A 25,092-nucleotide genomic window follows, 5' to 3' on the forward strand; every position below is an offset into this window, starting at 1 on the left:
AAAACAAATTTCCTCAAAAGTAAAGTCCTTTGTGCTTCAAAGGACACCAACAAGAATGTGAAAAGATACGCCATAGAATAAGAGGAAATATTTGCAAATCATATATCTGACAAGGGATTTGTATCTGGCATATGTAAAGCACTCTTACAACTTAACAATAAAAAAACACAAATAACCCACATAAAAAGTGGGCAAAGGATCTAATAGAAATGTCTCCAAAGAAGATGATATGCCAGCCAGCCCATGGAAAGATGTTCAACATCATTAGCCATAGGGGAAATGCAAATCAAAACCACAGTGAGATACCACTGCACACCCACTGCTATGAATAAGTGAGAGGCACGGACAGAATGCGGGTACTATACCAGGGTGTAGACTTCATGTGTAATTCATAACTCTCACCCTGGGGAGGGAAAGATGAAAAGCTTGTCAGAGGTGACAATTCAGAGCCAAGTGATCCCAGATCCACACTGTCCACCCAGACCCCACTCAGCACACACGTGCACACACAGGCGCTCCATCCCTGCCTCTCTCTTCTGGACACAATCTCCCCACCATCTTCAACTCAGCCTCCATACACTCTTTGGACCACACTGTAGCTCATCAGTCTCCTGCCCCACAAGACTCCTCCATCCTGCCTGAGAGAGACCCTCACGAGTCACATTCTCTCTTGTACCTCCCCAGGCTCTCCCCACCTCCCTACCACAGGAGCTCCAGGGGAAGTAAGTCAGGGGCCCTTCCCAGACTCAGGCACTCACCACAGGCAGGGTCATCACCTGACCATCGGAAAGGCAGTCGAGGGGCTGGCTGATGGGGCCCTTCTTGCGAGAGCGGCAGCAAAGCTGGAGGGATGGGTGGGTTCTGTGAGAGGGGCTGGGGAGCTCCTCTGGCACCCCCCACCTGTCCCAGTCCCCCACACCTCCCCCAGTGTCAGCCGCCTTGTACCCCACAGCTCCAGTGACTCTTGGGCACTTCCACGTGCACCTGGGACTGGAAGTACTTGGGGTAGTGGAAGCAGGCAGCGGTTTGGAAGCAGGCAGAGGTTGGGCAGCAGGGTTCCAAGCAGGGCCGGACACGCTGGGTGTTCTCAAAGGATTCGTTCACCATCACCAGGAGGTCCTTCACTGGGAGAGAGGACAAGAGGGTGAGACCCTGGGAGCCTCTCACTACCCACCTGCAACTTGGTCCAGCAAAAAACCTATTTGGAGGTATCCAGGAGGAGTTTAGAATCACCTGGGGCACCAGTTCAAATTCCCCAGAGATTCTCAATCTATAGGGTAGGGCAGGGCCCAGGAACCTGCATTTTAATGAGGTTTATGAGGATGCAGACAAACATAGTCCCCAGAAAACCCTTTGAGATGCTGAGAAGGTCCTCAGGACCAGTCCTTGGCTCAGCTTTGCCAGAAGATGCCCCAAAGTAACCTGCCCACTGTAGAGGAGGCAGACCCTCCGCACACTGTCGCTTTTGATGTAGACGCCTCTTCTGTCCTCCCTCCCTCCCTCATGTCTGGTAGCCTTGCATGGGCAACATGGGGTGGGGTGGGGAGTAGGGTAGGGGTATGGTATTCATGGATCTCTTAGGTCTCTGCCAGCTATAAAGTGCTAGGACCCTCTGTGAGCTGTGGTCTGCCTAGAGGAAGGGGCATAGTTAGAGGGGTCCTGGGCTTCGGGTGCTGACCACCTCACTGACCTAGGCAATCTGAGGTCCTGGCATGGCACAGCACAGACAAGCGTGGATAGAGGGAGCAGCACTGGGACCCCAGACCTGAGATACTCCAAGGTTATGTGGGTGCTTGGGCGAACACGCCCTTTACAGAGCAGGATGGGAGGCCAGGGGCTCAGGACCCCTGGGGGTGAGATGATTCTGAGGGGTTTCAGCCGAGCTTTTGGTCCCCCTGAGCCCAGGGAAGCCCTGGACTAGGTGGAGTCTGATGCTGATGGGATTTGGAAGCAGCTCCCCCTTGTCCCCCAGTAGGCAGAAAAGGCAAAACAGCTCACTTTTCTCCCTCTTCCTCCGCCTCCTGGATTGTGCATGAACCTCCAGGCAGGAGACTTGTCGAGACTGTAAAAAACAAAGGAGGGTCACAGAGTGTCTGAGCACCAGCCACCTCCTTGCTCTTCCAGGCTGAAGGGAGATGAGGGACCAGAGGATACATTCAGCATTGGTCTGACTGGGCTGATGCTGGGGAATGCAGAATGTGTTGACCACATTTTCTGAACCCAATCAAGGCATGCCATCTCACTCAGAGATAGGATACTTGACCACGAAGCTGTCCCAGGAGGTCTAGGACCCACGGTCACAGTTTACTAGGGGTCAGGTCCTCAGCTGCAGGTCGGGAATCTGACCTGAGGGAATGTTCAGCTCTGGGCTTTCAAAGTGAGGGCTTCCGACAAAATAGCCTTGTCAAGATGCTGAGGCAGATCATACTCCTTTGCCACACATTCCCAAAGACTCTTCTTTTTGAGGGAGAGGTCTCCTTGAACCCTGAGGCACTGGATGCATTTAATTAAAATAGCTGTACCAACAGCCGAAATATGAATTTTTGTTTTTGGCACAGGGTCTCACTCTGTCACCCAGGCTGGAGTGCAGTGTCATAATCACAGCTCACTGCAGCCTTGACCTCCTGGGCTCAAGCGATCCTCCCACCTCAGCCTCCTGAGTAGCTGGGACTACAGACACATGCTACCATGCCTGGCTAATTTTTGTATTTTTTTGTAGGGATGGAGTTTCACTATGTTGCCCAGACTTGTTTTGAACTCCCGGGCTCAAGTGATCCCCCAACCTTGGCCTCCCAAAGTGCTGGGATTATAGGCATGAGCCACCATGACTGGCTATGAAACAATTTTTAATACAGAAATTGTGCTTGTAGGCCAGGCACAGTAGCTCACACCTGTAATCCCAGTACTTTGGGAGGCTGAGGCTGGCAGATCGCTTGAGCTCAGGAGTTTGAAACCAGCCTGGGCAACATGTTGAAACCCCGTCTCTACAAAATACAAAATAATAGCTGGGGGTGGTGGCGTGCTTGAGCACGGGAGGCAGAGGTTGCAGTGATCCGAGATCGCAGCACTGCACTCCAGCCTGGGCGACAGAGTGAGACCTTGTCTCAAAAAAAAAAAAAAAAAAAAAAAGGTAAACTGTGCTTGTAGAATTACTGGGGTTGTGGGGTACAGGACCAAGACTGAGTCTGAGAGGAGGCTGCACTTAGTGGGTTGTTTTATTGGGGAGGCTCTTAAGGGGAAGGGTCACTTTTGGGATATGAAGTGCTCGGCCAGGGTGATGTCCCAGCTACCTCCTCCCTCTGTACAGAAGCCCCAGCTCGTGCCCCAGTGCTGCCTGTGCCCCATTTGGCTGGCCTCGTTTAGTCTAACTCCTGCAGAGGTCAGGATAGGACAGAGACCAAGCTGGGCCCACTGTTTTCTCCCTTGGTCCTGTTCCCCTGAGAGCAGCAGCCAGCCGTGGCCTCTGGAGCTACAGGAACCCAGGAAGATAATTACCACCAGCACGCCATTGGTGACGAGGGTCTCAGGTGGAGAGGGACTGAAAAACAAAAGGAGAACTCCTGGTCAATTCTAGCATTCTTGACTGGTTTCTTCTAATGGCGACAAAGGGAATAAATAGGGTCAATAACAAAATATCAGAGCCTTCTTTGTTCTCATAAAAAATACTAGCTTCGGAAACCTTAGCCTTATAGGTTGTCAGGGAGGAAACTGGCCTACATTTGAAACAGAATGTCCAGGAAAAAAATAGATTTATAGGTTAGAAGAGTAGGAGAGTTCTATTTTTTTGAAAGGATAACTGTTTTTTATGTCTAACCAGATGCAAATGCATGGGGTTAGAAGAATAAATAGGTTGTAAGAAATGGCTGCAACCTGCCAGCTAGAGCAGACATAAACAGTTTTGGTAGTGAAAATGATCCATTCTCCATTCTGTGCTTTATCTAACTTATGCATTTAACAGTCTGACCCAGCTGAGAGGGTGAATGTTAAATGCCCTTGTGTTATAAAGTTGAGAACATAAGCCTCCAAGGTTTCAATTAGCCTGGCAGAGTCCACAGCATCCCTTGTCAAAATTAAGCCCAAGGTGACTGTGTCTCCAGATCAACTTTATTGTTGTTGTTGAGAAGGAGTCTCGCTCTGTCGCCCAGGCTGGAGTGCAATGGCACGGTCTGGGCTCACTGCAACCTCCACCTCCTGGGTTCAAGTGATTCTCCTGCCTCAGCCTCCTGAGTAGCTGGGATGACAGGTGCATGCTGCCATGCCCAACTAATTTTTTGTATTTTAGTAGAGACGGGGTTTCACCAGATCAACTCTTATTACCAAGCATGACATGTTTCATTTTGCAAGCCACTTTCTAATTCAGCCTAGGAGTTTTCCCCGCCCTCTAAAAATTCTGTCAAATCAAGAATTGGAGGGGAGAGCTTCGATTTTCTTCAATGTTAAGTAAATAACGTTGATTTTAATTTGCCAATCAGCTGTTGATGGGAAGTAAGTTCCCTCACATAGTTTGAAGATCCCCTAGGCAGAGGATTCTCCAAGTGGCAGTTGACGAGCCCTCTTGTCCTGTCTCCCACCTGTCATCCTCCTTCTGTTCCCGGGCTCATCACAAGCATAGGGGGCTCAGCCCTGCCAGGTGAAGAAGAGGGAGGAGTGAGGAACAAGCTGCCCAGTTACAGGGCACTCTGCCCGGCCTGAGGCGGGGGTTGCCTTTCTTTCTTTCTTTCTTCCTTTCCTTCCTTTCCTTGCTTTCCTTCCTTCCTTTCCTTCCTACCTTCCCTCTTTGTTCCCTCCTTCCAGACCTCCAGCTCTCTGAGTCCTCAGCACAGTCATGTCTCCAGGATCCTGGATCGTTTTCCTAATTGAAAATGATTTGGGCTGGGCGCGGTGGCTCATGCCTGTAATCCCAGCACTTTGGGAGGCCGAGGCAGGTGGATCACCTGAGGTCAGGAGTTTGAGACCAACATGATGAAACCCCATCTCTACTAAAAATACAAGAATTAGCCTAGCATGGTGGTGTGTTCCTGTAATCACAGTTACTCGGGAGGCTGAGGGAGGAGAATCGCTTGAATCCAGGAGGTGGAGGTTGCAGTGAGCTGAGATCGCACCACTGTACTCTAGCCTGGATGACAGAGTGAGACGAAAGAAAGAAAGAAAGGAAAGAAAAGGAAAGAAAGGAAAGAAAGGGAAAGAAAGAGAGAGGGAGAGAGGGAGAAAGGGAGAAAAAGGGAGGAAGGGAGGGAGGGAGGGAGGAAAGAAGGAAGGAAGGCAGGCAGGCAAGAAAGAAGATTGGAAAGAACCCTGCAAGGTGGGCCTGAGCCTCCCATTGACGTGGTTCCAGAGTTGGCTGCAGAGTTGGCTGCTTGCGGCCAGGGTTGGGGTGTTTGTTCTAACAGTTCTGGTCAAGGAAGAGACCCCTGGGCTCTGACCTCTTTCTCAGCTGGGCCTCAACAAGGCCCCCATCGCCATGGTGGCAGGAACTCTTCCCAGAAGCCACCCTTGGGAATGTAGGGGGCCTGAGGCAGGCTATTTGGCCAGAGTACTAGATCTTTAAAGCAATGCTGAGGGCAGGAGAACTGGGTAAGTGCAGTGGGGCCCAGGCTCCTACACTATGGAGAAGCTCCTGGGTGATTCTGATGCACAGTGAAGAGTCAGGGTTAGTGCCAGGAGTGAGACTGGAAGAGGGTGAGGCAGCAAAAAGGCCGACCTGCCTCTGAAATGCTCGTTCCCAGAAGCTACTTGATGGCCAGGACCTTGGTGGGCCCCGGGGCCTGGGCCTACTCACCTCTCCTCCAGCAGGAACTCCACCTCCAGCTCTTCCATGCCCTGGTAGGGGAGGGAGGGAAGGCAGCTGTGAGTGGCGTCTGCACATCTCTGCTGACCAGAACCCTTTGCCACCCTGGGAGCCGCTGTGGACCTGCCTCCGTCCTTCCCCCACAGCTGCCTGCTGCCATGGAGTGTGCTTGTGGTCTCCTCTGCCAATCTCTGTCCCCAAGTCTTTGACATCAGGAGCATCACTGACAGCCCAGGGGAGGTCAGGGTGTGGAGCTGACCCCCAGCCCCAGCATGTACATTCCTCTGCCCGAGAGCATCTCCTTTCTGTCACTTCCCTGGCTTCCCACCGCTCTCCTGCCTTCCCAAGGGACTCAGTGCCTGTGGCAAGGGAGCGCTGAGATACGCCTTCAGAAAGCCCATTCCTTCCTTCACTGAGTCCCTCACACCTCTTGCTGTGTACTGGAGGCAAGCCAGGGCCTCACTGGGCCTTACTTTCCCCACCAGAATGTAAGCTAGGTGAGGGCAGGGATGCTAGTTCCCAAGGGGACCCAGTGCCTAGAACGGTGCCGGCCCCTCACAGGCACTCAAATGCTGGCAGAATGATTGAATTGACAGCATCCTGGGGGCTCCAGCTCTGACTGTCTCTGATCTGCAGATTCGCCCACCTTTACCCTCATCTGTCCTCTGTTCCTGGGGCCATCCCAGCAATGGGACTCTGAGGGAAGAAAAGGAGGGAAGGGAACCAAGACTTACTACCTCTCCATTGTGTTCTGTGAACACTGCTAGTTGCCTGAATTATGGTTTCTCATTTAAGTCCCACAACAACCTTGTGTGGTAGGTATTATGATCACCATTTTGTAGATGAGGAAACAGAAACTTAGGGAGTTATTTTTACGACATCACATAGTGAGTGACAGTGCTGGGATTTAAACCAGCAGCACCATCTTTTCTCAACTTGACTGTGTACACAGAGAAGACCCTGGGGAATGGCTTTGTGGGAATCAGCAACAGCTATGAGGTTATCATGAAGCCGGAGTCTGAGGGCCTGTACCCTGCACCCACCTGCGGGTTGAGTGGAAACTTCACGTGGGTTTTCTTTCGGAAACAGAGCTTGGTGAGGTCATAGAGAACTGTCAGGAGATGGTCATCTGGTGTCACTGTGTCTTCATCACAGACACTCAACTCTAGCACGTTCTAGGGGAGAAGGAAGGATGCCAGTCTGGTTACCACGGTTGCATTGACCCCTTCCCAGAACAAGGGGCTTGACCTCTGTCCTAGCAAGGAGGTAGGTCTGGGGGATGGGAGACAGCCCAGAAGTCCCTGCTCAGATGTGACAGACATTTGTAGGGAAACGAATTAAGGAAGGCAAGTGTCTATTCCCTCCTTTCCAACTCCCTGAAGCCTTCTTGGCCTTCTGTTCTCACTTTCCTGCTAGAGAATTTTGCCTCTTTTACAAGCTTGGTAGAGACCTGTGAAGTATGGAAGGATTTAGTTTCACCTGAGGGGAAGGATGGATGGGAAAGAGCAAGCAAGACCCCTGCCAGGATATAGAATGTGGTCAGCACTGGGCCCCTGGGCACTGAAGACAGCCCCTTTGGTGCTAGAAAATCCAGATTAGGGAATCGAACATCTAACACTCCAGGGAGTGATGTGGCAAAGCTTGTAGGGGTTCTGATAATTGGTGGGGTATATGAACTCTATCCTTTGACTCATCAGCCCCTAGTAAGTTCTCATGGATGGTCCCAAAGCAGCTACCTTGTCATCTGGCTGAACTCTGAGGTCAGTGTTCTCAGGTGACATGGACTAATCTCTGAGGCCTCTTGTTCCAAGGATCCTGGGGGATGTGGGTTGAGGCTGCCTCTTAAATACATCTAGTGGACATAAGGTGGTTCTGGAGGTTCCCAACGGGATGTGATTGTTGACCTTGTAATTACTAGAAACACAGGTATGTCCCAGAACCAACCCAGCAGCTCCACAATCCAAAGGAAGCTCAAATTCTGATTTCAAGATGGCAGACTGAACCCACATCAAAATTCTCCTCCCTTACCAAACTCACATGTATGATAGAAAAGGTATTTTAAAAATAATAAGTATAAAGCCCTTCTTGAAAAGATACGTCACGTAACAAAAATAAATAAGTATCCCTAAAACATGGAGGCAGTAAGGTGGAGCTGTCAAGCCTCAAGCACCTCCAGACTGGGGCTGATGCCACTATGATGAGGCCAAATTTGTTGTAAGGGATCTCTGCTGAGGCTGTCACAACTCAGGATGCTCAAAGGATAATTATCCCATGGGAGATGTGAACTCAACTTAGAGTCATCATATATCTGAAGAAGACCAATCCCATGGAACAACTCAACAAATAAAATACACACCCAAAGAAATGGAAATAATAAAGCAATATGAAAAGAATTTAAGAGGGAGAGAACCCTCTGGCTGGAATTAGACTGGCCTCAGACCTAGTGAATAGAATGGTTCTTTCACTCTGTGTATTCCCCTGCTTGGAGAAGGCTCTGGAAACACAATCTGTTTTGGATTAAGAGACACCTAGTTTCAGCAACAATTAGGACAAGAGAGACCAGGAGAAAAAGCTAGAAAGAGAAATAGACTCAGAGAGGGGCAAACATGAGACAGGCAGAAGGAAGTAGTGGGTGTGAGTGGGAAGACAGGTTTGTAGGACAAGAAGTAGGCAGAAAGGAAAACAAAGAGGCATAAGAACACAGAGGCAAAGAGAAGGACAAGTGGGCAAGAGGGGAGTAAAATGCAGACAGGGAAGACAGGTGCAGTCCTCCATGTCTCACCTTCACTCGGCTCTGGATCTGGAAGTTGAAGCTTTCATTCCACTCTGGATTTGGGCAGTTGGAGATGGTCCTTGTCCTCAGCTTCTTCTGAGAGGCGGTGGGCAGCCAGAGGCTCACAAAACAGTCTGTCTGGCTCACTGTCCAAGAAAGATAAGTGGAACCAATCCAGGTTCAGAGAGAACATGTGGAGTCAAAAGGGAACTTCAGGCAAGCCTCTTCCAGAGCCAGGCCCCATCTCAGCTCCAGTTCCTCTCCTCATTCATGGGTCTAACTTTCCAGAGACTCAGATCCCCAAGAAGTCACAGATTGCAGGCTGTGGGTCTCGCAGAGGGCGACCCAATCCCACTGGCCATTCTCATAGACACAGATGGCCTCCGGCTCTTATTAGAAGCACCCTTGTCCCTGAGCAAACACCTGCTGGTTTGGGACAAGGTATGGTCACACAGTTTTCCCTCTGCCAAGGTAAGATCTGGAAGACCAGTCCCCAAGGGTCCGGATTACTTCTTGTCTTAGCCCAGGGGACCAGGAAAACCAAAGTAGGGCCAAGCACTCCCTCTGGGCTGAGGAGAAGTGAGGATGAGAAGGAACACTCTGCTGTGAGTCGGCCAAGAGGAAGGGCCCCAGTGGGCAAGGACTTGAGTGAAACTAGCTATTCAGCAAGATCTAGGAGCAGGAACCCCCATCTCCATATGGCTTAATGCCTCCACTGCATCCAGCCAGGCTCTTCTTACCTATCCTGATCTGCAGCATCAGGTTATGGCCCAAGAAACCCTCCCCTCTGTGGCCACATACTTCTTTTTCATTCTAAATGAACAACCCAAGTGTGATGTTGCTGGATATGCTCTGGAGAAGGGACAGAGGCTTTGACCCCAACAAGCCCTCCCAAAATGACAGAAGGTCTCCTAAGTCTTCCACCTGGAGCAACAGAAGGGATAGGGTGAAAATAGTAGCCCAGACTGGCTCCCTGCTCTAGTCTACCTGGGAGGAGGGAGGCAGAGGGGCCATGACTGCCCCTGTCACTCTCCTGGCAGTTGGTGAGGGTGAGGCCCAGGGTACACACCAGATACATAGGAAATGGTGAAAGCCAGCAGTTTCCAGTGTCAGAGAGTCCTCTCGATGGTAAAGCTGGCAGGAGGATGGGAGTTCTACACTGGTAGGACTGATTCAAACTAGTTTTTAATTATTAATAGTCACTGATGAGAGTGGAGCCAGGGCTTTCTTCGCCCTGCGTTGTCACCACACTGAAAGGTTTATCAGAATCAACAGCCCTGATCTAAATCACAGGTGTTCCTAGCTTCTGATTTCATCCCTGAAGTCTGGTTAATCTTTGAGGCCTCATCATCCAGTGAATTGGAATTCACAGCCCTCCTCCTATTGAAGAAAGGTGAGATGACACTCTCTTTTAGATGTCATGATAATCACTTAATCCAGACAAAAAGAATGATTGAAACCCAACAGAATCAAAAGAAAATGATGACCTCATCAACCTACTCTTCCCTTCTATGCTCAACCTGCTCTTCCTTATCATCACTCAGGTGTCCAGGCCAGAAATCAGTGTCATCCTTGACTCTCACATTCAGTTGATTTAACCCTTTGTCTCTCTCAGGACCCCCAACTTCTCATCTGCCCTGCCACTGCCCTGGTGTAGACCACCATAATCTCTGAGGCCACTTCCCAGATAGGCTTCCCATCTCCTGTCTTGCCCCACTCTAATCTTTTCTCCAAAGAGAAGCCACAAGGAGCTTTTTAGATATGACCATGCCATTCCCCAGTTCGAGATCCTCCAGGGGCTCCCTTCTGCCCTCAGGAAGGAGTCCCAGCCACTCAAAGTGGCTGACCCTGCTCACTTCCCCAGCCTCAGTCTCATCTCTCCACCCTCCCTAATACCCCACCCCTGCCCTGTGTGTGCGAGCATGTGTATGTGTGCACACATGTACATTCACACACATTTACACACATACGCATTCACTCAAACTTACACACACGCACTCACCGTTTAGACTCCAGCCAAACACAGTCACTTGTATTCAAAACTGCCTTTGCACATGTAGCTCCCTCTGCCCAGAACACTCTTCCACTTTCACCCACCCTTCTCCTTGCTAGCCCCTTGGGACTTCAGTAGGAACCTCCTCTGGAAGCTTTCCCTGAGCACCCAAGTCTGGACCAGGTACCCCAGAGCCCAGAGTCCTCTGTTCCTCTCCTGGGGAGCACCCCTATGCTGCTCTGCAACAACAGGTGGACTCATCTGTCTCCATCACACTGTGGCCACAGGATACAGGTACAGATACATCACTGCAGATACAGGTCAGAGGTCAGTGTGTCTCATTGCTCTGCTGATAGGGAGACTCACCAGGAACCTGCTCAGCCCTCTTGAACCCTTCCCTTGGCTTTTCCAGAACACTGGCCCCCCCACCCCGGGCCTGGACCACACCCTTCAGGTCTGTCTCCGGTACGCTGGGAGCCTGCAGGCAGGGTGCCAGCTCTATACCTACTGGTTCTGTAATGCACTTGGCGCGCATGATTTGATGGACCCTGTAAGAGCCCCTTCCCTCTAAAATTGTTTTCCTGTCATTCGTCCATGCCTAAAATTCTCCGATAAAGCCCATTAAATAAAAACTCAGTATTTTTGGCCTAAGGCTTAAATGTCTAGTTAAGATAAAGAAATATTCCTGGCAGAGACAAGATTGATCAGACACCCACATTCCAAGCATTAGTTTTTCAGTTCTTTTGCAGAGAGCTGCTTCCCCTGTCCACCCCCAGCAATGAATGGTTAGGCAACGGTGACCTGGTTCTGAGAATTTCATGGACTATGGGGATTTCCTAGGCACAGATAAGTTCTAATCCTTGTTCCTAGTGGAGTGACAGAGGGCTTGGTCATCTGAATGACATGTCTCCTTTCCTGGAATGTGGGTGGCAGAGATGACTCAATCATCTCTATAGATGTTCAGAACTTTGTCTCTCTAATACCTCTGGAGACACCTGTCTGATATCCCTTGGGGTGCTGGTTTCAGTTTTAATTTCTCAAGAGAAACAAAAACTCCTGACAACTGGGAGGTTTCTAGGCCTGATTGTCTCTCAGTCCTGGCCCAAGGCTCTTTCAGTTATCGAGGAGTCAGCCCTGAATCTTGAGTATTCACTGCCATTTGGCCTCTTGGAAACTTTAGGAGACTCAGGCACAAGTTACAAGACTAAATGGAAGTGCTGTTTATTTTGGATTCAAACTAGAAGGAAAAAATTTGGGACAAGGGTAACCCAGGACCTAAAAGACATCGGGATAGTCTTAATCTAACCCAGGCAAGGTAGCAACACAGCCCAGCCTGCAGCAACTGTGGAATCCAGACCAGACATGACTGGGGTTGGCACCCCGAGATGCCACATGTGCCTTCCGCCTTGTTCTTCGGGGAAATGAGGAAAACGTAAGCAACAGGGGGGTTTCCAAAGAGGGCCAGGTATCGCCCAAAGGCAGCCTGTCTGCCCAAGGGGCATGTAGGGAAGGGAGGAGGCTTGTAGAGCCAGACTACAGCCTGTTTCTCTAGCTGCCTGCTCTTCCTCACACCCCGTCACCTGCTGAGTGACAGGTGTGGCAGGAAGAAGACAGAAGAAAGGACCCTGGACAGTGGGAAGTCTGAGCATGCAGGTGCAGGCATGCATGGGGGCATGCAGCCAGGTGACTGGAGAGGCTGGGACAGACACACCTCAAAAGGAGTTGGAGGGCTGGGCATAGTGGTTCACGCCTGTAATCCCAGCATTTTGGGAGACTGAGACAGAGGATCACTTGAGCCCAGAAGTTCGAAACCAGCTTGGGCAACATGGTGAAACCCTGTCTCCACAAATAATTTTTTTTTTTTAAAGTTAGCCAGGTGTGGTGGCCCATGCCTGTAGTCCCAGCTACTTGGCAGGCTGAGATGGGAGGATCACCTGAGCCCAGGAGGTCGAGGCTGCAGTGAGATGAGATTGAGCCACTGCACTCCAGCCTGGGCAACAGAGTGAGACTCTGTCTCAAAATAAAATAAAAATAAAAATAAAAATAAAAAGCAGAAGGGGTTGGAGGAAGGTAAGCACTGCTGTGGATATGTGGGAGCTGGGTTGTCCCAAGGATGAGGGTGAACTCTGCCCAAGAGTGGGAAAGTGTCTGAGTGACCACCGTGGCATGGACAAGAAAGGCAAGAGAGGTGGCCACGTCCTGGATCCAGAGGACACTCCCTGGATCCTCAAATCATTCACCGATAGGCTGGGAAAGACCCCAAGAAGCTTGAGGAAAAGTCCCTGGCCCTTTGGTTGGCCACTTGGCAGACACAGACCCAAACTGGAGGCTACTGGAGCCACTCCTGCTGGCGCAGGCTCTGGACACATTGCCCTCCAGAGGCTCTGTCTCTGGAATCCTGCTTGGTCCCTTTGCTGTCTCTGGGGCTCAGGGCCCTCCCACACTTATCCATTCACACTCAGCCCTGCATTGGAGTGACAGCTTCCTACAAGTTCCCAGACTCTCCGCACCTGCACTCTAGCACAAGCTGCATACAAGGCCTCAGGAAGTCATGCAATCTCTTCCTCAAGACCCCAGGTACCCCAACACTTTGAAGGCATCCAATCCCTCCTCTGCCTCACTTCCTGGTTCTCCATACCTGGCTTGTCTCCTCTCTTGCCACACTCTCCACACCTGGGACCAGACCCTACTTCCCTCTTAGGCAATCATTAACCTCTTGTTGCAAAATGGGCCTCCAGGGCCTCTCCTCAAGTTGCTGGGAGCATCGGGTAGTGTGTGGATGTCTGGCTACAGGTCAGCCAGGCAGGTGCTCAGGGGGTGTGGCTCCCCTCCCTCAGGACAGCCTCTCCCCAAGATCGGGCTCCCAAGGCCTCTGGATACTCAGGTCCTGCCCCTCTCAGACCCCAGGCTCTCTGTGCAGCCTTTCTTGGCCACTCCCAGCTCTCATTGTTCTCCTCTGCCTCTAAACTCCCTGGTGACAAGATGGGAACGTTGTTATTCTATAACTGCTTTGGACATAGATAGCTCCTCTTGTTAAAATGTACACTCAATCTCAGGGCTCTGTGTCTTCTCTGCCCCTCTCAGGCCCTCCCTAGCCTTTCGGGATCCCTGTGGCGCTTGAGTCATTCCTGTGTGGTTACCGGTGAGCAGGGATGCTCCCCACCTGTGGGGCCTGGATATACAGCTTTTTCCCCCTTGGGGGCCAACTTCCCCTCTGGATGGGGCCAGGGGTGGGCAGTGTGGGAGGGGCTTTCAGTTCTCCTGATCTCTTAAAATGCCACCCAAAGACAGGGGTGGGGAGGATTCTGCCCACTGAGATGCCTCCATTGGCCCCCGTGGCCTGGAAATGCAGCAGGCTCTGGGATGAGGGGGGAGGTTAGGGCTGCCAGGAAACAGCACTGCACAAACAGTGCTGCTAAGTCAAGCCACATCCATGGGCTGAACTGTAGAACTGGGTGCTGTGGACTCTGGCATGGTCCCCAGAGCCCAGTTTCAGATCTTTGTCTTGAGAAGGGGCTCTGGGAGTCACCTGGCAGCTGGCTCCACGATGCCTAAGTGCCTCTCCTTCCACTTCACCCCAACAGGCCCTAACCGAAAGGAGGAGCAAGGAGTGCTCCGTGTGGGCAAAGCGGGTGCTCTTGGAAATCGATTCCAGGAAGAGAGAGTGGGGAGGAGACAGAGGGCGAACAGAGCTCTTGGGTGCAGGCACAGACTGCGGGGCAGGTAGCGCCGAGGGAACAGCATGAACAAGGGGCCTGGAAGAGTGACAGAAACCCCAAAGTCTGAACTACAACTTGAGTATAGAACACACATTCGTGCACATACATGCACACACATACACGTATACACCATGCACGTGCACACGTGCGCGCGCACACACACACACGGATCCACCTGACCATTTCTCCAGCCAGGGCCTCTTCCATCCAGATCCGGTAAGCAGAGAAGGAGAGAAGTGAGGTGGATACTCACGCATATCAGCCTGCCGGACATTTTTCATCCGGATGACCCTCACTGTCAACAGGTGGCATGGAGACAGCCCCTCCTGTGGAAGGAGAGGACAGAGGACTCAGTCTTCAAGCATTACTCCAAGGCCATTGCCCCGGGGGAGACTTTCCCGCTATGCCTCCTCAGGCCGGCCCAGTTGCATTACAACAACCCCTAGGCTGGTTTTTTTTTTTTTTTTTTTTTTTTTTTTTACAGAGTTTCACTCTTGTTGCCCAGGCTAGAGTGCCATGGCGCGATCTCGGCTCACTGCAACCTCTGCCTCCCAGGTTCTAGTGATTCTCCTGCCTCAGCCTCCCATGTAGCTGGGGTTACAGGTGTCTGCCACATACCCAGCTAAATTTTTGTAGTTTTAGTTGAGACAGGGTTTCACCACGTTGTCCAGGCTGGTCTTGAACTCCTTATGTCAGGTGATCCACCCACCTCGGCCTCCCAAAGTGCTGGGATTACAGGCATGAGCCACCACGCCTGGCTCCCCATGCTGTTTTGTCATTGTTTGCTGGGGTTTCTGTCTGCTCTTCAGCCTGGAAGGTCCTGGAAGCTCCAGAGAGCCTGGGACCCTGACTGGTTTTTCATCTTTGTACCTCCAGTACCTATAGCATGCTCATATCTAGAAGGTGCTAATACATGTTCATTAAGTGAGTGAATGAATGTTCCAGCCCCATGCACAGAATGAACGCCCATGGCAAGGGAGTCCTGAGGTGTTCTCCCTCTCCTTTCTTCACTGAATAGCTGCTTATTGGCACTCTCCTCCTACTGTCCCACATGCAGATATTTGCTCTTGCCCAGGCAAGATGGCAGCCTGCTTGGGAGGCAGGCACAGTGTGGCTGCGGGAAGGGGGGTGACAGACACTGATCACGCACGGTGACATCTACTCACTGGGAGACCATGTGCCAGGGGCTCACCCCCACTGGTACTTACTTAGCTCCAGCCCAGGCCTTTGCATCTCCCTTGCCCTTTGGGCCTCTTCCCCAGGGTATCTCCCCCAGGTCCTTCTGGTCACTCTATTTTCCCTTCCCAGGAAACAGTCTGCCTCTCTCCACTCCACTGTTTCTCGCAAGAGGTCCTTGTGGAGTCTTGGCTGGTCTGCGATGACCTCTCTTTCCTGATGGCAAAAGCTCAAGTAGTCCTTGGTTTGATGACTGGCTCCTGTCAGATGCCTCTGCGGGTCATGATAACCCCAGGGGACCAGAGCCCTGAGGTGTCCCCCTTCCCTAGCACCTTGTCCTAACAACTGGGGTGTGGGAACACTCCCAGCCCTGCTCACGCGGTGCTGATGGCTCCTCCTTCCGTCCTGCCCCTCTTCTAGTTCTGATCACCTCCTGGGGGCTCTGCCATCATCTCAAGCCCAGGTCCTCAAGGAACACCCAGAGCCCTCCCTGGGCTGCAGTGTCTGGGGCAGTGGCTGTGGTTCCTTAAGGCCCCACGTCCCTCCCGAGCTGCCCCTGCACTCTGAGTCTCGCAGCAGCCACTACTCTACTTTATCCCTTTTGGACCCATTACTTCATTACTTTCTGCCTCCCAGAGGCCCTGAAACCCCCTCTTCCAGCCGCACCAGCTTCTCTGGACCCTACAGCAACAGAGTGTCGCCGGATCATCCTTCCTGCCTACCGAGGGACCGCAGCGCTCTCCCAGTGCCCCTCTGCCTGTTGCCCTTGGCCCCAGGCGTTAAGCCTGTGGGAGCCGCTCCCGTTTCACCCCTCTCCTGGCCAGCGTCTCTTCCATGGGCTGTTTTCAGAGCTCAGGGTCTGTGTGCTCGCTGGTAGGGCTCCCTGCCTCTGTTGCTCTGAGAGTGCCAGCCCTCTGATTGTTCCTCTGAATGAATGAACCATCTTCTAGAGTATTATTTTTGAGCACCTACTGTGTGCCAGGCCCTATGCTAGATGCTGGGGGGCCAGGGGTGAATACTAGGCAGAGACAGAGGTTAAAGGCAACAGCGGCCAGTGGCTTTGATGGGGAGAGCAGGTCAAGCTGGCTACAGGCTGTTGCTTTCCAGGCTTGGGGCCTCTGGCTGGCTCCAGAAGCTTCCCCGCCATCAGTCATGCTCCTGGACTCTGGAAACCTCTTCTGGTCCCTAGGGGCCCAAGGCTGCAGAGGTGAGGCGCGTTTCTACTCTGAGCCGGCACACCCGGGAAGGGGCAGCCTCGCACGGGTTCTCTTCAGGTGTCCTGGTTCTGTTCTTGGTTCATGCCTTTCCTGTTGGAACTCATGACTTGAAGCCCCTTCGCTGAGAGTTTTACCCACGCTTAGAAGAGTTTTTGTTGTCGTCCATTCCCAGCCTGAGCTCACGGTAAATGCCTACCAACCGAATGTCTGTATTTATAGAAGCGTCTGAACCGGCACCCTCGACATGCGACCCTGAATGTTCTACTCCGTGTTGCCAGAATCACTTTATACCTTTTTAAGAGGATTCAATTCTTCTCTCTTTAAATACTATTGGGATTGGGGGCAGGAGAAACAAGATACGAAGAAAAAAAAAGTTTCTATAATCCCACCACTCAGAGACCATCTTTTTATCTTTACTTTTTTTTTTTTTTTTTTTTTTGAGACAGGGTCTCACTCTGTTGCCTTGGCTAGGGAATCTTTTGATGCTGGTCCTTTCAGACTTTCCTGGGGCTTAATTCTTTTTTCTTTGGAGACGGAGCCTCACTCTGTCATATAGGCTGGAATGCAGTGGCGGGATATCTTGGCTCACTGCAACCTCTGCCTCCCAGGTTCAAGCAATTCTCCCTCCTCAGTCTCCTGAGTAGCTGGACTACAGGTGCTCACGACCACGCCCGGCTAATTTTTGTATTTTTAGTAGAGACGCAGTTTCACCGTGTTGGCCAGGCTGGTCTCAAACTCCTGGTCTCAGGTGATTCTGCCTACCTCAGCCTCCCAAAGTGCTGGGTTTATAGGTTTGAGCCACTGTGCCTGGCCCCTGGGGCTTAATTCTGATCAGCAACAGAATGCTGATTCTGGGAAGGTCACGTTATTTAGCCCCTTTTAAGGTCTCTTCTCCTCTCCTGAACAGCTGCCTTAAAACCAGGACAAAAGTCAAACTCACAGCCAATTATAGGTCTGGAGATTTATTTTGTGAGATCAACCCTGAAATATTGAACATCTCATGGTCAATAACTTGCTCTAACAGCATTCTGTTGGGAGCCGGAGACTTGGGCCAAAAGCCATGCACACTGCTTCTCTTCTGATGCTGGAGACACAGCTGTGGCCTCTGGCCAGACCTCCAAGGTGCACTCCTCCTTTCTCACTCTGCCCGAGTGCAGCATGCACCCTGGGCTGGCCTGGTGAGGAGGCAGGGTCAACTTTCACCAGGCAAGCAGTTTTGGCAAAACCTGTACCCACCGGCCCACTTTCTCAGAGGGCAACTAGAGTCCAAGCTGTGGAGGCTTCAGCCCAGGCAGGAGTCCGTCCTGAGGGATATTCCACAGTGTTTCAGGGCTCTGAACCCAGGTCCGGTGGTCCTCTCGGCCTCACAATCCTTCTCCTGCCTCCAGGAGGGGGTGCCTGTGGCCCAGCCTGCCTCCTTCAATATCTACTCTGGCAGGGAAGGCGCAGCCACACTCTCCCTTGGGACCTCACTCCAGGTGTCCTGCCTTCCAGGACAAGTTCACTCCCATCATCTAACCTCAGTGCCTTCCAATGCAGGTGACCATTTCTTCCCGCTCTAACTCAGCAACAATAACAGCTAGCATCTGCTGCGTGCCAGCCATGCGCAGGTGCCATGTACAGGTTCTCTGTATATTATCTTGCTTAATCCTTACAACCGCCCCACGAAGCAGTTATTATTAGCTTCGTCTTTATAGATGGAGAGTCAGAGGCTAAGTCCTTTGACACAGGGCTCACAGCTAGAATCAGAGACATCCAATGCTACTTCCCAAGCCTGTGTTTCTCCCACTGAGAATCTCAGTTTACTTGGCAAACAGGAAGACAAATGTTGCTTGCCTTCATCTCCTCTTCCTTGCTTTTCTTCTCTTTAAAACAGTTTTTCTGACAGATTCTTCTTTTCACTCAGCGCTCCCCCAAAGCCAAAAAATAACCACCAAACTCTGACAATTCTTCTATGGCCTGCACTCTTACTGGCTGTTTCTACCAACACATTCTAGGATATCCCTCTCTTTTTAAACATCTAGAGCACATCAGAGCCATAAGGGTCTTTGGAGAAGTTCCCATTTTCCAGTAGCCACAGATTGCTCCACTTGAGCCTTAGATCACACCCTCCAGCTCTCGAATTTTCAGGAGAGACCCAGTTTTCAGGAGACAACCACATTTTGCCAGCACAGAATTGGGACTGGGAAGGGGGTTTGAGAGACATCCCAGCCGGATCATGCTGGGAGGAAGGTGGCAGGAATATGGGACTTAGCTCTGGGGACCAGATGCATTCCAGGAACCAGGTCTATGAGAAATGGCCTTCTTGGGTTGCAATGAATGTACCTATTTTGCTTCTGATATAATCTGTTTGATCAGTGTTGCTAGAGATGAGCAAAAATTCATGGCCTGGAGGTAATTAATCTACAGTGGAAAGATGCAATCGAGCAAAGCACCGTGTCTCTGATGTGCGTGTGGGAACCAGAAACCAGGGAGGCTGTGGAACCCAAGTTTACAGGGTTGCTTATGGTGTGGTGAGGGCCAAAGCTTTAAGGACTCAGATAAGCTCATCCCTAGAACAGGATGCCCTGGCTGGGATTGGGTATCAGGGTGAAGAGTCAAACTATTTAAGAACAGACATGATCAGGCACCATGCCAGCTGGGCTGCAGCCCTGGAGTAGGGACAGGCATTCATCCTTCATGAGGGCATTGGGAGGGCCCTGGGGTAAGGACCAGGGAGCACTTGAAGACTTGGAGCTCAAGGCAGGAACTGTTTGGCAAACAGTACAGAGGTATATTTAGCCACTTTGCCAATCAGTACAGCTGGGCCAGGGAGGACAGGCTGGACAGCAGTTTTCTGGGAAGCCAGGGGAGAGAGAGGGCCCCACTGCTCAGGCTGCCGACACACCGTCCCAGCCCCCTCCCCAGCCTGGATTCTGGGGTTGATCTTGGCAGGACTCCACTGCCCCCTGGGGACCTACTGGGGACTGGGGGACCTTGCCAGCTCATGTGGAAAAGAGGCAGCCCCTTGAATCTCAGGATTGGCTATGATGCAATCCAATGCTGCCCCTTCCCACTCCTACTTTTATAGATATGACTTTTGGCAGGGGTGAGGGTGGGGAACAAAATGTATGACTCTGCTCTGGCAGGCCCAGCTGGGCTGTGCTCTAGCTGCTGTGCATATGCTCTTATCTAACCTTCCAACCACCGCCAAGGAAGGCATCATTATCCCTGCTTTACAGAGGGGAAGGCCGCGTTTAGAGAGATTACATCTCAAACAGGCTTACACTGCCCAGGAGTGGCAGAGCCAGGACTTGGGTGCAGGTCTTCAGGGCGCATGCACTCCATCCACCTGGCTCTCACTATGAATGTACAGCACCAGCTAGCAGCTTGCTCCAGGCCATGTGCTGGACTAGTCAGTAGCAGAGACAGGAGGAAAAGCCTCAGCCTCCTCATTGGAGCTCTCCCTATACCCCAAGAATCTAGCCGTTACCACAAATCAGTCAAAAGAATACTTAATTACCAAAGGGCTCCCAGGGTCAGGCTCCTGGGTGGGAGTGGGGTCTGGGGAAGGGTCTGACAACCACATTTCAGAGGTGGTGGATCCGATGCCCATCGCTGGGCCAGACATACCCTCAGCAAACCATCCCATGAAGTCTGGGGAGCCTGGAGAGAGGGGAAGATGGCACCTGGGGAGCCTGCAGGAACTCCCTCCCCAGGGCTTCTCAGGTCAGGCCAGGCAGGTGATGCCACCTCCTCCTCCCTAGAGAGCTGGGTGTACCCTTCAGTTCCATGCAACACCTGTGTCAGAGCTTGGACTAGCCAGGTGCTGTCTTCCAGAACATGTGGGCCCTCCTTTAAGGAGACCATTGGGAGGGGACATGATGGGACCCTAATACATGTCCCAGCCACTCTGAGCAACATCCCAGACTAAGAGTCACCTGGGAGGAGCTACCATGGCTGTTTTCCTTTTTATCACCAGGCTAGTTGAGTGGTCAGGGCAAGAAATCCCGGCACCAACATGGACCCTCCAGGCCTGACAGGGGCAGATGCAGCTCATGGAGAGGCTCCTGAAGCCACATTTGGGGTCCCGGGCTCTTAACTGCTTCACTGCCCCCTTTGAGGTAAACTCTGTCACCTCTGTGGAAGACCTCTCCTGGCCCAAGCTCTTGGAGGCTCAAAAAGATTGGCAGGAACAATAGGTGGCCAGACGCCCTTCCAGCCACCCAAGTGCTGTGGGGAAACCAGGGCACACCCCAGGAGGCAGTGTCTACCTGGCTGGGCAGCAGGGGCATTGGCCACCACCCACCACGGAGCTCCCTGACTTGGGCTCCTAGGAGACTGAACAGGGTCTTCATCTCCCCCACCAAGGGGCAAAGTACTTTCAGGGCATCACCCATGTCATTCAATGATTTAACTTGAGCCGGGGAGGTGGCCCTGGGAAAGGTAATGAGGAAGAAGTGCTGCCTTCGAGGAACCAACTAATGATTCTTCCCAAGGTGAGCCTACAGCAGATTGAAGCATTGAGGTCATCTCCCTATTGCCTAGATGGGGAAACTGAGGCAGAGTTGGTCTAGAGCCCTGGCAACCTGATCCATGAACCCAGAGGTCTCCCTGTGAGGCTGTGAGGAGTTGGATGGACCCATGAGCCTTGACTGTAAACCCAGGTGGGCAGCTTTGTGGCTGATGGCAACAGATTGACAATGCCACCAATTCTCACCATACACTACACCATACTCTTGCACAGCATAGAAGCTTAGGATGTTTGCAGGGTTAAATCCTGCTTGCCATTAGGGCAGGCCAAATGTGGATCCCCCTGGCATACTCTCTATCTTGGGTGCTAGCCTGGCCCCAGGATGGCCCCACGCCACTTCATGATGCCTTGAAAATCTTGAGGGTACTCTCAGCAGGGCCACCCAAGCAGGAGCCCTGGCCCCAACTGGGATAAACCACCTCCCCCAGGTTTTAAGATGAGGCTGCCTGAGCCCAGGTCCTTGGGATGTCCAATGCCTACCAGCCCTCCCTGAGGCCCGTCTCCTGCTCTCAGCTCCCTGCCCCTGCCCCTCACTTCCTGGCCATGCCTCCCTGGCCCTCAGCCTCTGGCCCCAGCCACTGAGCACCCCTCCCTCACCTTCAAGGCACAGGTGGCCGAGGGCCTGCTGTCTTCTGCTTGGCATGGGTCTGGCAGGGAGTGGGAGACCCTGGCGTGCATCTGCCTCAGGAGCATCACGGCAGCTCTCCAGCTGGGTGGCAAGATCAGGAACTTATACTCTGACTCAGAGCTCCACCTTCCTGGCCACAGCTTGGCAGTAGCTGGGATTGCTCTGGGAGTGGTTTGAGTGGGTAGACAGATAGGGTGCATGGGCCTAGATCTCTTCATATCAAAGAAATCACAGGTCTTCAGGTCATAGAAATACAGGGACCCGCAGGGCTCTGGTCTTTGGGGTCAGCAGTCTGTAGCCCCCAGCCACTCAGAATGACCAGGCCTTCAAGGGCACAGTGGGTGGCAAGAAGAGGACACTGGACCCACATGACTGTAGGACTAGCCCGCCATAATTTGGGAAAGCTCTATCTCTTCAGCTTATAGAGGTCATGGCTCATAGATGCCCCTCTAGGAGGATGCGACCGTCGCTCCCAACTCCACTTCAGTTTCATGGCTTGGTACCCCAGGAGCTGTGGCCAGGGACCTTCATGGGGTCCCTGGCCACAACTCCCAAAGAGACCAGGGTCAGTGCTCCCAAAGCTAGAGGGTGAAGAAAGAAAATAATTGCCCAATACTTCGTGAGAAAGGGTCTGGGGCAACCATCCCCTGTCCTCCCTCCTGGGAGGCCAGGTGGAGAGAGGGCGTGTCCAGCCCCTGCCTGGTCTCAGGACAGCTTGGAGGATGCACCCGCCCCGCCCAGATGATTCCTATCTCTAGCCTGGTGGCTCACTGAGGGGCCTGACAAGGGCAGCTTTGCCTGTTCTGCTGCCTGACTCTGTACACTGGGAGTTTCCTGCCTGAGCTATTGCCTGGGGCCCCACAACCGGCTTTTCTGGACCATAGATAGAAGTGCTTTTTTGAAATTGAGGATGAGATCTGAACATGGGACAGACTGGGCCTGAATGCAGGGATGGAACCTGGTTGGAGGTACCTGTGGGAACTCTTCACGTGCCTGGCCTTCCAGAAAGTGGAGGGGCCTTAGCCTGCTGCTCTCCTGGCTTCCTTCCTTGCCCTGCCCTCCCCTCCTCTGCCAAGGATGGGGACTCAGCACCACATCCCTCAGTAAACTCCACAAATTCAATTTAGTTCATGTACCTAGTAAGCATCTGCTGTATACATCCTACTGAGAGAGGAAATCCTAAGCTTGAAGTTGCTGACAGTCTGGCTGGAGAGCCAGATGCATCCAACCCCTCAGAGGCTCAGGGATCCAAGTTTCCCTGTGGTGAGAGGGGGCATCTTAGAAGGATCGATAACAATCCTTCCTTCACATTTGTGAAGATCCATGGTTTACAGCAGTAGTCCCCATCCTTTTTTAGTGCCAGGGACTGGTTTCACCGAGGTTAATTTTTCCGCGGGTGGGCGGGAGATGGTTTTGGGATGATACAAGTGCCTTACATTTATTGTGCACTTTATTTCTATTATTATCATATTGTCATATATAATGAAATAATTATACAATTCACCATAATGTAGAATCAGTGGGAACCCTGAGCTTGTTTTCCTGCAACTAGATGGTTCCATCTGGGGGTTATGGGAGAGAGTGACAGATCATCAGGCATTAGATTTTCATAAGGAATGTGCAACCTAGATCCCTCGAGTATACAGTTAACAATAGGGTTTGTGCTCCTATGAGAATCTAATGCCACTGCTGATCTGACAGGAGGTGGGTTTCAGGTGGTAATACAAGTGATGGGGAGTGGCTCTAAATACAGATGAAGCTTCACTCACTCGCCCACTGTTCACCACCTGCTGTGTGGCCTGGTTCCAAACAGGCCACGGACTGGTACTGGTCTGTGGCCAGGGGGTTGGGGGCCCCTGGTTTACAGAGCTCTGCCACACAACTAAGAACTGGCTAGGGAACACAGAAGATGGAAAATGGATTCCAGCTGGAGAGGGAAAGAATGGATCTGAAAAGGCCTTACAGAGGAGGTGGCATCTGAATTGGGCTTTAGACGAGGAATGGGATTTCAACAGCTAGTGAGCCTAGGCACCACTAGGAGGAAGAGAGAGGCATCCTAGGAGGAAGAAACAGCATGAACACAGGCAGGGAGGCCAGAAAGCAGGGCACGCTTATGTATGCAGGTGGTCTGGTGTCTGTGCAGTGAGTTGTGTGGGAAGAGATACTGGGGGTAGAGAGTGGAACACAGGGGTGGTAGAAATTGGGCAGAAAGAAGGAGGCTTTGTGAAAGAACAAATCTGGAAAACACCCAGGTAAGGCCCCTCTGCTCTCTGGAGGGCCAGGCACATGAAGAGGTCCCACAGATACCACCAACTTGGTTCTGGCCCTGCATTTGGACCCAGTCTGCCCTGTGTTCAGAGGTCACCCTTCATTCCATACTAGATTAGGGTCCAAATAATCATGACCCTAAAAGGCCATACTTTATATTTGGACGTAGTCTCTAAGCAGTAGGGGGCTATTGATGGTTTTTGAGCAGGAGAGCTGAACTTTAAGAAGGCAAGGATGATTGATGTTGAAACAAGGGATCAATTAGGAGGTGAGATGTGAACCATCTGGGATAGGGGAAGTAGGGTGGAAAGTTAAGGGAGAGATAAGGCCAGAACAGGCCATACAAGCTAAGTCCAGGAGTTTCTGTGGCAACTCAACCCACAGCACTATACTGTCCTGAAAGTCATGGGGTCCCATCTGTCTCCCCATCCCTCCCACTCCCCCACCCTTCCCAATCAGATAGGCCAGGTTGAGCCCCAAACACCAGGGCATTCCTCAAGGCCTCCTATTTGGCCTCTTCTCACTGAAGAAGCCCAGCCACAAACCCCCACTCCAACTCGTATGTTTCCTCACTGTCTATCAACTCCTCAGAGCAGGGTCTCAACTCATTTTAGTTGAATTAAATCAAATTGAATAGGGGGCTGATGGGAGCTTGGTGGAAGTTTCTTCCCCCACATCCTCTGTGGTGCCTCTGTCCCAGGTGGGAGCCAGTGTGACCTTGAACTAAGTGGACTGATCTACTGGAAAGTATTTACCGACTGCCTGCTGGGTGCCCATCTCTGTGCTGACCACTCAGGTGGGGTCTGGAATAAAACAACCAAGAATGTAAAATCTAGAAAGGGGAGGAAAGGGGGTAAAATTAAATGGTAAATTGGCCAGTGTGGGCTCTAAGTGGGATGGGAGGGGAGCAGAGCAGAGGACTCGGGGAGTTGGAAGTGGACTGGGACAGTGAGTAAGGAGTGTCAGGCAAACAGTGACATCCCCACGCCAGGGTGCGGGTGCCAAAGCAGCAATCTT

The 25,092-nt window shown here is 51.9% G+C and overlaps 1 protein-coding gene across 5 annotated transcripts in view, besides 2 other annotated features; it reads right to left on the reverse strand.

Moving 5' to 3' along the window:
- PLA2G4E (phospholipase A2 group IVE) overlaps positions 1-25,092 on the reverse strand; it is a 69,122-nt gene that overhangs the window by 17,577 nt on the left and 26,453 nt on the right. For 4 of the 5 annotated variants that reach the window (NM_001395548.1, XM_047432158.1, XM_047432159.1 and 1 more), the window contains exons 1-10: positions 21,777-21,884; positions 14,527-14,599; positions 8,571-8,707; positions 6,832-6,963; positions 5,780-5,820; positions 3,496-3,538; positions 1,999-2,062; positions 946-1,124; positions 759-842; positions 366-403 (exon numbers count right to left, since the gene is read on the reverse strand). In NM_001395548.1, the coding sequence (NP_001382477.1) occupies positions 366-403; positions 759-842; positions 946-1,124; positions 1,999-2,062; positions 3,496-3,538; positions 5,780-5,820; positions 6,832-6,963; positions 8,571-8,707; positions 14,527-14,599; positions 21,777-21,872 (887 nt within the window). In that variant the 5' untranslated portion in view covers positions 21,873-21,884. Of the gene's footprint in view, positions 1-365; positions 404-758; positions 843-945; positions 1,125-1,998; positions 2,063-3,495; positions 3,539-5,779; positions 5,821-6,831; positions 6,964-8,570; positions 8,708-14,526; positions 14,600-21,776; positions 21,885-25,092 lie in introns of those variants that run through there. The other variant, NM_001206670.1, reaches the window with a different exon arrangement.
- Positions 8,865-9,095: a silencer, noted in NCBI's record as "fragment chr15:42300221-42300451 (GRCh37/hg19 assembly coordinates)". NCBI's record gives its function as "represses an EF-1alpha promoter that drives an FKBP-Casp9 reporter gene in an ReSE screen in phorbol 12-myristate 13-acetate-treated (for megakaryocytic differentiation) K562 erythroleukemia cells {active_cell/tissue: K562(+PMA)}" and the evidence as "EXISTENCE:reporter gene assay evidence [ECO:0000049][PMID:32094911]".
- Positions 14,461-14,639: a silencer, noted in NCBI's record as "fragment chr15:42305817-42305995 (GRCh37/hg19 assembly coordinates)". NCBI's record gives its function as "represses an EF-1alpha promoter that drives an FKBP-Casp9 reporter gene in an ReSE screen in both phorbol 12-myristate 13-acetate-treated (for megakaryocytic differentiation) and untreated K562 erythroleukemia cells {active_cell/tissue: K562 | K562(+PMA)}" and the evidence as "EXISTENCE:reporter gene assay evidence [ECO:0000049][PMID:32094911]".

Source organism: Homo sapiens, chromosome 15 (assembly GCF_000001405.40).
Source record: "Homo sapiens chromosome 15, GRCh38.p14 Primary Assembly".
Lineage (NCBI taxonomy): Eukaryota > Metazoa > Chordata > Mammalia > Primates > Hominidae > Homo > Homo sapiens.